This window comes from Homo sapiens, chromosome 18, assembly GCF_000001405.40.
Source record: "Homo sapiens chromosome 18, GRCh38.p14 Primary Assembly".
In the NCBI taxonomy this organism is placed as follows: Eukaryota; Metazoa; Chordata; class Mammalia; order Primates; family Hominidae; genus Homo; species Homo sapiens.
Window position 1 is genome coordinate 63,351,234 of NC_000018.10, and position 12,260 is coordinate 63,363,493.

Sequence of the window (12,260 nt, forward strand, 5' to 3'; positions counted from 1 at the left end):
TATAAATGAAATGTGATTTGAGACCTAGCATTTGAAGACTCAGGACCTACCATTTGAAGACTGTTTCAGTCTAGTCTTGCATTCTGACCATGACAGCAGTTAATGTTTTTCCTGAAAACTGGTCAAAGTTAGTTTTCTCCTTATAAAAAGTATACTGCATGTTTGTGGGTAGTACTTTCTGAAAGACAGTTTTAGGAAAGAGGTTCCAAGTATTTGTAGCCCTATTAGTTCTAAGCTATAAGAAAAACACAGAGTAGGAGGGTGATTTAAAGTTTTGGTTTCAAGCCTTGGGTCTCCCATTTATTGCCTATTTGATGATGAATAAGAAAGTCAGACATTCTACTTATTTTCTTGGCTGTAAACAAGGTCAACAAGGGTATGACCGCATAGGGCTGTTGCAAAGATTAAAAGAGAAAACACAAGCGCTAGCACAGTCCTGGACCTCAAGAACCACTGGCTCTCCCATTATGATGGGTAAGAGTACTAATAGTGTATTTTCTCCTTGTCTTGGAAGCTTTTAATTTTTATTTATTTATTTTTTGCTTTTTTACTATTATCATTTTTTTTAGAGACGGGGTCTCACTCTGTCACCCAGGCTGAAGTGCAATGGTGCAACCTTGGCTTACTGCAGTCTCAATCTCCTGGGCTCAAGCAATCCTCCTGCCTCAGCCTCTTGAGGACCTGGGACTACAGGCACATGCCACCACGTCCAGCTAATTTTTGTATTTTTTGTAGTAACAGGGTCCTTTTATTTTGCCTAGGCTGGTCTTGAACTCCTGGGCTCCAGCAGTACTCCTGCCTTGACCTCCCAAAGTGATGGGATTACAGGCATGAGCCACTGCGCCTAGCCTGAGCTCTTAAAAACCTTAAATTTTAACTCGAAAATTTAATAATACTTGCATTAAAATGTTTCAAATATTCAAATATTTGTAAAAATATTAGATCATCATGTAAATAAAAACTAAATACCTCAATTGTGGAACTTGAGATCAATCATAATTTTTTTTCATATTATGAACAGAACATGAACATACAATCATAATATCTTAATTCAAGAGAATATTAGATTTTTTTATTGTTGTTTGTTTGTATTTGTTTGAAATGGAGTTTTGCTCTTGTCACCCAGGCTGGAGTACAGTGGTGTGATCTTGGCTCACTGTAACCTCTGCCTCCTGGGTTCAAGCGATTCTCCTGCCTCAGCCTCCCAAGTAGCTGGGATTACAGGCGCCAGCCACCATGCCTAGCTAATTTTTTGTATTTTTAGTAGAGATAGGGTTTCGCCATGTTGGGCAGGCTGGTCTCGAACTCCTGACCTCAAGTGATCTGCCTGCCTCGGCCTCCCAAAGTGTTGGGATTACAGGTGTGAGCCACTGTACTTGGCCTAGATAATTGTTTTAAATGATGACCAGAAACACTGGGAGTGACAGGGAAAAATATCTATGCTATTTAAGTTTAAAAAGCAGAAGCTAGACTGTATATATGCTGTAACTGTAATTACTTCAAAGGTTAAGTAAAAGTACACATGCTCAGAGGGAAGACCAAGGAAATACAGAAGATCATAAGTGACTGAGTTAGGATGCTGGGATTCTCTTTTTTTTCCAAAAGTGTGTTTTCGTAACATAATATTGTTTTGATAATAAAAAATGTTCTAAGCCGGGCACGGTGGCTCATGCCTGTAATCCCAGCACTTTGGGAGGCCAAGGTAGGTGGATTACCTGAGGTCAGGAGTTCGAGACCAGCGTGACCAACATGGTGAAAACCCGACTCTACTAAAAATACAAAAAAAAAAAAAAAAAAATTAGCCAGGCATAGTGGTGGGCAACTGTAATCCCAGCTACTCGGGAGGCTGAGGCAGGAGAATTGCTTGAGCCTGGGAAGTGGAGGCTGCAGTGACCCGAGATTGAGCCACTGCACTCCAGCCTGGGTGACAGAGTAAGACTCCGTCTCCAAAAAAAAAAGAAAGTTCTAAAAGAATATCTGAAAAAAGACGTCACACTGAACGCCTGTGTTTACTTTGGCTCCCTTTAGAAACCTTACTAAAATCTCCGTAAAGAGATGTTTTTTAAGGCAAGAACACACAAGAACAAAGAAAATAAGAATAAAAATAACAGCAATAACCTTTTGGAAGCTGAAGAACAGGTTGAGGAGGGATAACTAACTTAGCAGACCACAAAAAACTAAATGCTAAGCGGGGAGTGGAGAAACTAAAAAGCCAGATTCTACTACAGAACCCCAAAAGGCTCCAGCTGCAAGAGTCTCTGGGGTGGAGGGAAGGGTGGGCTGGCATGGGGCTGAGACAGGAGTAGGGACTAAGAGTCTATTTAATAAGCAGTCAGCTAGACACAGCCCAAATGGCCATCGATGATGAATAGCTAAACAGAATGTGGTCGATCCATACAAAGGAATATCACCACCCTATAAAAAGGAATGAGGCACCCATATATGCTACATGTGGATGAGCCTCAAAAACTGATGCTAAGAGAAAGAGGTCAGACACAGAAGTGCACATATCATGATTCCAATCATACGAAATGACCAGAGACAGAATACAGATTGGTGGTTGTCAGAGATTGGGTGTGGGGGTGAGCAGGGATGGGGAGCAACTGCTTACCAGGTGAGGGCCGCCCTATGGGTGATGCATATGCTTTAGAACTAGGCGGAGGGGGTGGGTGCACCTCATTGTGAATATGCTGAATCCCTCTGCATGGCTCACTTTAAAAACAGTTAATTTTATGTTATATGAATTTCACTTCAAATTAAAAAAATAATGTAGGACAATGAAAAAAAAAGGCAGTTAGATCTTAGATGTTTTTCCCCTCTCCACAGGGTAGATCTGTACCCCTCTTCCAGCCTGGCAGGAGACTGGAGGTTCTGTTTCTAGGGATAGTAAGTCTAGATAAAGAGAGAGGTTTAAGGGAAAGTCTGTCTAGACGGCGCACACGAAGACACCAACACACTCCCCAGCTTCATCCTCACAGGAGGCTGGAGGACACTCCGCTTGAGCCCGGGAGGCAGAGGTTGCAGTGAGCCGAGATCGTGCCACTGTACTCCAGCCTCAGCGACAGAGCAAGACTCTGTCTCAAAAAAAAGGAAGAAAAAGATTGTTGATGCGATGGCAACTAAAAAACGTTTTCCATTTTAAAAACATTTCAGGCCGGGCCTGGTGGCTCATGCCTGTACTCCCAGCACTTTGGGAGGTAGAGGTGGGCCAGTCACCTGAGGTCAGGAGTTTGAGACCAGCCGGGCCAACGTGGCGTAAACCCATCTCTACTAAAATAAAAAAAATTAGCTGGGTGTGGTGACATGTGCCTGTAATCCCAGCTACTAGGGAGGCTGAAGCAGGAGAATCACTTGAACTTGAGAGGTGGAGGTTGCAGTGAGCTGAGATCACGCCACTGCACTCCAGCCTGAGTGACAGAGTGAAATTCCATCTCAAAAAAAGAAAAAATAAAAATTTCAAATCTAGTGTTCATTTCTTTGGTGCTGAAATAAATTACCAAGAGAAGTTCCTTGGTAAACCTGATTAAAAATAGAAACATCAATAAGATGCAGTATCTTTTTATCTTGATTTGAGAACTCTAGTGAGTCTGTCCTTCAACTTTTTTGGTTTCTCCTTGTTAATAATACTGATGTTTGATAGGAACATCCGGCATCTCTTAGGTTACAAAGTGTTCTCTTGAAAATATGACCTCAGTGAACTGCTACAGTAATCTGTGTCAGATTAGAAGGTCCATTCCCATTTTAGCTGGTTTTCTCAGCTGTAAAATGTCTAAACTCTTAAGCTTCAATGGTCCTGACACTGGGATGAAAACCTTGTTCAGCTTCACCTTGTTCAGCCTTCCTCTAGAGTCTTCTAAAGCTTCCATGGACATCTGAATGCATTCATCTAATTGATTCTTAAAGCTTTTACCCGTAGCTTGCTCTGCTTTTAGCATATGTGCTACTGCAGTGAGCAAACATTTTTACTTACTTCAAAGGTACTAACTTCAAGATCTTCAAATTTTCCTGACACTGCCATTCCTGCACAATTTACCAGCATGTCCACTGGACCCAGTTTCTCCTGTGCCTAGAAAAATGTAGCAGAGCAGGCATTAAGAAACAGAGAAGAAAAACCACTCAGCAGCAAATCCATGCTGATAAATAAAATTTACAAAACTATTAAACCTATAGAGAAGTTGTGTCCATTCCAAGCCACATAGCAAAATGGCAAGAACAAATCAAAAGTCAAGCACATTGGTGAATTCCAATTAGCCCAACCTCTTACTTGTTTTATGACATTCTCTACTTGGTTATAGTCTTGAGATACATCAACTGATATGCAAAGCACCACCTGTTAAAAAAGAAAAAAAGTGATCAAAGTTTTGCAGGTACCAAACTATTTCTTAAAGATATTTTTTAAAGAAAAGACAGTTCATTGAATACAGAAGGAAGCCAATATTGAATGAACAGATTTCAGTGTTTGCTGATGATGCAATTAGCAGAATCTAATTTTCTTGGCAGCTTTTGGAGTTAAAACTCTGAGGAATCTTTTTAAAAATATATAAATGCTCCTCTTGAAATGCCACTAATCTATAGTGACAGAAGGCAGATCAGGGGTTGCCCACAGCCAGGCATGGAGGATGGAAGGAACTGTGAAAGGGCACAGGCCAACCCTAGGGAGTGATGGAAATATTCCATATAAGGGCCTCAGTGCTGATTCCTTTCAAGAAGGAATCCTGTCCAAATGATCAAAATTCCTAAGAAAAGGAAACAGCCCTCTTTGCAAATATAACCTGCAGCATTCTAGTCTAGAGGGGTTGCCCTTGGTTGTAATGTATACCTAGAGTGGATTTTATCCCAACATCCTCAGATAGAAAACATTGTTTTAAAGGTAGTAGTAATCGGCCAGGCGCGGTGGCTCACGCCTATAATCCCAGCACTTTGGGAGGCCGAGGCAGGTAGATCATTTGAGGTCAGGAGTTTGAGACCAGCCTGGCCTACATGGTGAAACCCTGTCTCTACTAAAAATACAAAAAATTAGCCTGGCGTGGTGGTGGGCACTTATAATCCCAGCTACTCAGGAGACTGAGGCAGGAGAATTGCTTGACCCTGGGAGATAGAGGCTGCAGTCAGCTGAGATCATGCCATTGCACACCAGCGTGGGCAACAGAGTGAGACTCCGTCTCAAAAAAAAAAAAAGGCAGTAGTAATCATATGATTAATTTTAAAACAAGCCTTTTCATGCAGTATTAGATCAGTTACTAATAATAAAATCTATGCCACAGACAAGTGAAATCTCAGAACAAAAAAATGTTAACAAGTCACACACACACACAAAAGGTCCCTAGAAGCCTGGCAGGGCAGAAGGATCAAGCTCATTCTCGCCTGCCCCAGCCCTATCTCCCTTCCTTGATGTGAAAGGTAAGTTTTCCACCTGACCTAAAGTCCTTTGGTAGATGAAGAGGTAGAAGGTGTCATGATGAGGAAGCCCAGAGCGGAGACAGTGTTGGCAGCAGGCAAGACTGGCCTTGGCCCTGAACACTGACTCCATGACTTCACACCATACTCCTTCGTCTATCAGATATTACAGGAATACGGGAAAAAACGGGGCAATTTACAGAGCTGGTGTTTTTCCAATGCTTGTGGGCTTCAGAGAAGGGGGTAAAGACCACAGTCTTAGAGAAAAACTCACATGTGCAGAAGATATACACAAGGATTTTTACTTGCAGCACAGACTGCAATTGCAAAAATAAAAATACAAAATAAAATAAAAAGAATGGAAACAGCTCAATAGCAGGGACCTGACGGAATAAGCTCTGGTGTACTTCAATCCTAGGCTGCAGCAATTTAAGGCAAATTTACTTAATGCACATGGAAAGATCTCTAACATTCTAGAAGGGAAAAAGTCAATGAATACCACAGTGAAATACTATTCAAAACTCATCAGAAAGGCAAAAAGTAAAAAGTCTGTCAATACCAAGTATTGGCAGGGATGTGGCGCAACAGAAACCGCATTCCTACTTATGGGAGCTTAACCACTTTGGTGAGGTTGAAGAACTGCATACACTACAGCTCTGCAATTCCATTTCTGGGTATGTACCATTCTTGCACACGTGCACAAAGAGAATACTGAAAGCTTTTCTAATAGTAAAAAACAAAACAAACTAACAAAAATACTGGGAACAAACTAAATATCCACCAATTGCTGAACTGATGAACAAAATGTAGTCTATACATACAATAGAATACTACGCAGCAGTAAAAAAAAAAAAATTTACTCCAACTTTTTGCAGCAACATAAATGAATTTTTAAAATTATATATATATATACACATATATATACATACATACATACATACATATATATATATATATATATATATTTTTTTTTGAGATGGAGTCTCCCTCTGTTACCCAGGCTGGAGTACAGCGGTGCAATCTCTGCTCACCTCAAGCTTTGCCTCCCAGATCCAAGTGATTCTCCTGCCTCAGCCTCCCTCCTGAGTAGCTGGGGTTACAGGTGCAGCTAACTTTTTATATTTTTAGTAGAGACAGGGTTTCACCACTTTGTCCAGGCTGATCTCAAACACCTACCTTCAACTGATTTGCCCGTCTCGGCCTCTCAAAATGTTGGGATTACAGGCATGAGCCACCGCACCTGGCCTAAAGAATAATATTGAGTGGTCTGGGAATGGTGGCTCACACCTGTAATCCCAGCACTTTCAGAGGCTGAGGCGGGCGGATCACGAGGTTGGGAGTTCGAGACCAGCCTGATCAACATGGTGAAACCCTGTCTCTACTAAAAATACAAAAATTAGCTGGGCGTAGTGACGCGCGCCTGTAATCCCAACTACCCAGGAAGCTGAGGCTTGAACCCAGGAGGCAGAGGTTGCAGTGAGCTGAGATTGTGCCACTGCACTCCAGACTGGGCAACAGAGCGAGACTCCATCTCAAAAATAAATAAATAAATAAGAAATAAATAATAATAATATTGAGTGAAGAAATCAAGTTGCATAAGAAGCATAAAGAAGGAAGTTATACAAATCTATAGAGAAAGAAAGTAGATGAGTGACTGCCTAGCTGAGAAGAGGCTGGGAGGAAATGGCAAGTGACTGCTAATACACATGGAGATTCTTCACGGGGTGAGGAAAACATTCTAAAATTGATTTTGATGACAGTTGCACAACTCTATGAATACATTAAAAATCATTGAATTATATATTTTAAATGGGTCAACTGTATGGTATATAAATTATATCTCATAAAGCTGTTAAAAAATAAGAATGATATAATAAAAGAAGTAGAACTAAGTATATTGGCCAGGCATGGTGGCTCACGCCCATAATCACAGGACTTTGGGAGGCCAAGGCAGGCAGATCACCTGAGGTCAGGAGTTTGAGACTAGCCTGACAAACATGGTAAAACCCTGTCTCTACTAAAAATACAAAAAAAATTAGCCGGGTGTGGTGGCACACACCTGTAATCCCAGCTACTCAGGAGGCTGAGGCAGGAGAATCGCTTGAACCCGAGAGGTGGAGGTTGCAGTGAGCCAAGATGGCACCACTGCACTCCAGCCTGGGTGACAGAGAGAGACTCTGTCTCAAAAAAAAAAAAAAAAAAGAACTAAACAATATATTATTATTTAGAGTTATGTGCATATATGGTAAAATTAAAAAGAAAAAGAGGCAGGGCACAGTGGCTCACTCCTATAATACCAGCACTTTGGGAGGCAGAGGTAGGCGGACTGCTTGAGCCCAGGAGTTGAAGACCAGCCTGGGCAACATGGCGAAACCCCATCTCTACCAAAAATACAAAAATTAGCCATGCATGATGGCACGTGTCTATAATCTCAGCTACTAGGGAGGCTGAGGTGGGAGGACTGCTTGAGCCCAGGAGGTCGAGGCTGCAGTGAGCTGAGATCGCACCCCTGCACTCCAGCCTGGATGACAGATTGAGACACTGCCTCAAAAAAAAAAAAAAAAAAAAAAAGGAAAGAAAAAAGAAAAGAAAAAGAAAGGATTAACACCAAAAATCGGGTTGGCATTTGCCCCTCTAGGAACAAGAAAAGAGGGACAAGGCTGCTGTGGGGGCTTCAGAGACCCTGATCATTTCTACTTCTTAGGCTGGGTGATGGGTGTGTGATTATTAATTTGCTATTATGTTTTATACTGAAATATAAATAGCATTTTATTCATCAAAAATTCCATAACCAAATAAATTTTAAATATTCCTTTCCTCTTAAGCATTTGTATAAAGTTCATTAAAAAAAAAATTAAAATGAAATTATTTGCCAGTAAAACATTCTGTTATTTGACCATTTGTAGATATGAATGTGTGTGGGAGTCTATTCATTTTGCGTGTGTGTGATATTCTGAGTTACTAGACCATTCAAACAATTCCACCTTTTAAAAAACAGTACATATATGCTTTCAATTAACTATTCACAGGTGAAGTAACTCTGTTTTTCCTTTATACAGCTGTGCTGAGTTATACAGAAAATGCATTCTGAAGACAGAGATTTACCTGTTTGTCATTAATAGAGTGCATTTCAATTTCTTTCTTTGCCTGCAGCAGCTTATCCTGAAAGCAATACAGAATAATTAGTCGTGATGACCGTCTATATGCATGTCCGTTTATTGCAAAGGAGAGAAAAAAAGCAATTATTTCTATATGTATGTATTAAATTCCAGAAAACACACAAAACAGTATCTACATTGCATAGACAGACTGGGCCACAGCCTATGAAAGAAAGAAGTTGTGAAGTATGTTAAGCTATGAATAAGTGATAAAAGTTTGAAAATTAATTAGAGAAAGATAGTAGAAAACAGATAAACCTCAAAATCCCAGTTAACAGTACTAATTGCTGAGGCTGACTCTACAGTTCTAATAAATGTCTTATTATTTAGTTGTGATATAAGACAAGAACAACTCTATTAATATGTACTGCTCCCCAAAGTTGAGGGTATGTGTGACTCCCTGTCAATACTGCTTTTTGTCCAATATTTTCTTCTTCTACTATAAACCCAAACATAGTAAGAATCACTTTCTGGATAGACTGGGTAAACTAGGCCTGGCTACTATAAAATACTCTTAAGCAAGGTTACCTGTGTAATTATGTAATTCTTCCAAGGTCCTAATTTTGTTTGTTTTACTTAGTCTCAAGAAAACAGATATCAGATTATCTTAATTTGCTGTAAAAAGTAACTTAAATAATATCATGCAATAGAGAGGAACCAAAGGAGAGGCGAATTCTTCCAAAAGGCATGCAGAGTTTCTAAACCTGAATATGTCTATAATGAAATAATATTGTCCTATGACTAAAGATACATACAGCTTGACTTTGCAAAGACTGGAATTAAAAATTACATTAGAAAAGAAAGAATTTCTCAGCCAGGCATGGTGGCTCACCCCTGTAATCCCAGCACTTTGGGAGGCCAAGGTGAGTGGATCACCCAAGCTCAGGAGTTTGAGACCAGCCTGGGCAACATGGTGAAGCCCCGTCTCTACCAAAAATACAAAAACTTAGCCAAGCATGGTGGCGAGCACCTGTGGTCCCAGATACTCAAGAGGCTGAAGTGAGAGGATTGGTTGAGCCTGGGAGGCGGAGGTTGCAGTGAGCCGAGATTGTGTCACTGCACTCCAGCCTGGGTGACACAGTGAGGCCGGGCGCAGTGGCTCACGCCTGTAAGCCCAGCACTTTGGGAGGCCGAGGTGGGTGGATCACTTAAGGTCAGGAGTTTGAGACCAGCCTGGCCAACATAGTAAAACCCTGTCTCTACTAAAAAAAAAATATATATATATATAAAATATATAATATATATAATAAAAATATATATTTTATATATATGTAAATATATATACACACACACACACACACAAATCAGCCAGGTGTGGTTACACACACCTGTAATCCCAGGTATTCCGGAGGTGGAGGTTGCAGTGAGCCAAGACAGCGCCACTGCACACCAGCCTGGGTTACAGAGCAAAACTCCGTCTCAAAAAAAAAAAAAAAAAAAAAAAAAAAAGAATGAATTACTCAACACCACAGGTTCTTCATTCAGTTCATTCATTTCTAGCAATGCAAGGGCCCCATATGAGCTCCTGGGGGCCTGAAATGCTGGCCTTCTCTGCCTCCACTTTTATTTACTTGCATCAAAACTGGTGTTTAAAACTCACAAAATGCCATTTCATCAAATTTGTGTTTTCATTTATGTAAGGTGGCTTCAATGCCAAAGCAAATTCATTGTTAGAAAAGTCAAGCTATAAATAAAAGGTAGCTAATTTTGTCTTTCTTGGTTTGCAAAAGAAGTTATAGACGTCCAGGCCAGGTGTGGTGGCTCACACCTGTAATCCCAGCACTTTGGGAGGCCAAGGCGGGCGGATCACAAGGTCAGGAGTTCCAGACCAGCCTGACCAACATGGTGAAACCCTGTCTCTACTAAAAATACAAAAATTAGCCAGGCGTGGTGGTGGGCGCCTGTAGTCCCAGCTACTCAGGAAGCTAAGGCAGGAGAATCACTTGAACCCAGGAGGCAGAGGTTGCAGTGAGCCGAGATCATGCCACTGCACTCCAGCCTGGGCAACAGAGTGAGATGCTGTCTCAAGAAAAAAGAAAAAAATAAAAGAAATTATAGAGGTCCAAGACTAAGTCTGCGACATTATTTAAATTTTCCCCCAAGGCCCTTCCTGGCCTACCATTCCTAATGGGTCCTGTCCAGCCCTCCACCCATTTGAGGAGTTACCATACTATCACCCTCCTTGCACATGGGTGAATCCAAGATCCCCATGGAAGTATGCCATGCTGACATTCCCAGGCACTCCATCATTCCTCCCTTCATTTCTTCATTCAACAAACATGTCTGAGCATGTACTACGTGTCAAGCACTAGAATTGCTGCAGCGGACGAGCCAGCTGTGTGGTCACTTTCCTCCAGTCCCCATATGGGGAGCAAGAGGACGTCATGACAGTTCACGTGCACAGTGTCACTGCTTTGTGCTCTAAAAACAACTTTGGCAAGACAAAAACAAACCCTGACAAAAAATAAAAACAGATTCTGTGTTGACTTAATACAGAAAAACACATTTTGCTAAACTTCTAAGGAGGGACGAGGTTCCTCTATGGTGTATAGATTTCACTAGAGATATATATCATGTCCTAAGCAAATCGTAGTGAAAAATTATAGAGAAACACCTACACACCTTCAGGTATCAGCTCCAGAATCACTGCTTCCAGCACTTCTGACCTGGCCAAGGGCCCTCCCTGGCTTCCAATGGCCAGGTGTGCTCCTTCAACTAGACCTTGGCCTCTCCCATCTCAGGATCTGCAGTATCTATGATGATGTTGCCTAATATGCCAATGGTACTAAATAAATACTTGTGGGGCCGACCTGATTTCAACAGAGAAGTGTTTGGCCTAAATACTAGAGAGAATCAGTAGTTCAGGAAACACATCTCACATCAAGGAAGAAGCGCTTTCTAGGTGTGAATGCTAAGATGTTTAGCACAGCCTCTTTGACTAATTTCAAGTCGAAGAAGCAAGTCAGTAATAATGAACCTAGAAGCCTTACCTCATTTCGTGCAACCAGAGTTATAAAAGCTCCTTGTTTATAGCACTCGATAGCAATGCACTTCCCGATGCCACTGGAACCTCCTGTAACCTAAAACAAAATCATAAAATATTCTTAGCACTTGAAATCTCCCCTCTGTAGGAAGTTTTTATAAAAAACAACTATGACAGGCTCTTAAAATGAATCTACAAGAACTAAATGATTAGCTGTTGTTAACTTCTTCATCCCAAACTTAATGACTGGAGTAAGTGTAAGCATGAAAGATACTATCAGCAAGGCCTGCTGCTTTGACTGTTTTCTTATGGAACCATAAATTGCACACCTATAATATTTTTCTGAGTTCACTGGTGGAAAAGTGCCCTATAAGTCTAGCTCATAAATAATACATTAGTCTGCCTCTGATTCCAAATCCAAATGAATCTTATTTTCTTTTTTTTTTTCTTTTTTTTTTTTTTATTATACTCTAAGTTTTAGGGTACATGTGCACATTGTGCAGGTTAGTTACATATGTATACATGTGCCATGCTGGTGCACTGCACCCACTAATGTGTCATCTAGCATTAGGTATATCTCCCAATGCTATCCCTCCCCCCTCCCCCGACCCCACCACAGTCCCCAGAGTGTGATATTCCCCTTCCTGTGTCCATGTGATCTCATTGTTCAATTCCCACCTATGAGTGAGAATATGCGGTGTTTGGTTTTTTGTTCTTGCGAT

At 41.0% G+C, this 12,260-nt stretch overlaps 1 protein-coding gene across 1 annotated transcript in view; it reads right to left on the reverse strand.

The window, feature by feature from the left end:
- Positions 1–12,260, reverse strand: part of KDSR (3-ketodihydrosphingosine reductase) — a 39,481-nt gene that overhangs the window by 23,508 nt on the left and 3,713 nt on the right. Inside the window, exons 2-5 of the mRNA NM_002035.4 lie at positions 11,546–11,635; positions 8,503–8,559; positions 4,265–4,330; positions 3,971–4,066 (exon numbers count right to left, since the gene is read on the reverse strand). Of these exons, the coding sequence (NP_002026.1) occupies positions 3,971–4,066; positions 4,265–4,330; positions 8,503–8,559; positions 11,546–11,635 (309 nt within the window). The remainder of the gene's footprint in view (positions 1–3,970; positions 4,067–4,264; positions 4,331–8,502; positions 8,560–11,545; positions 11,636–12,260) is intronic.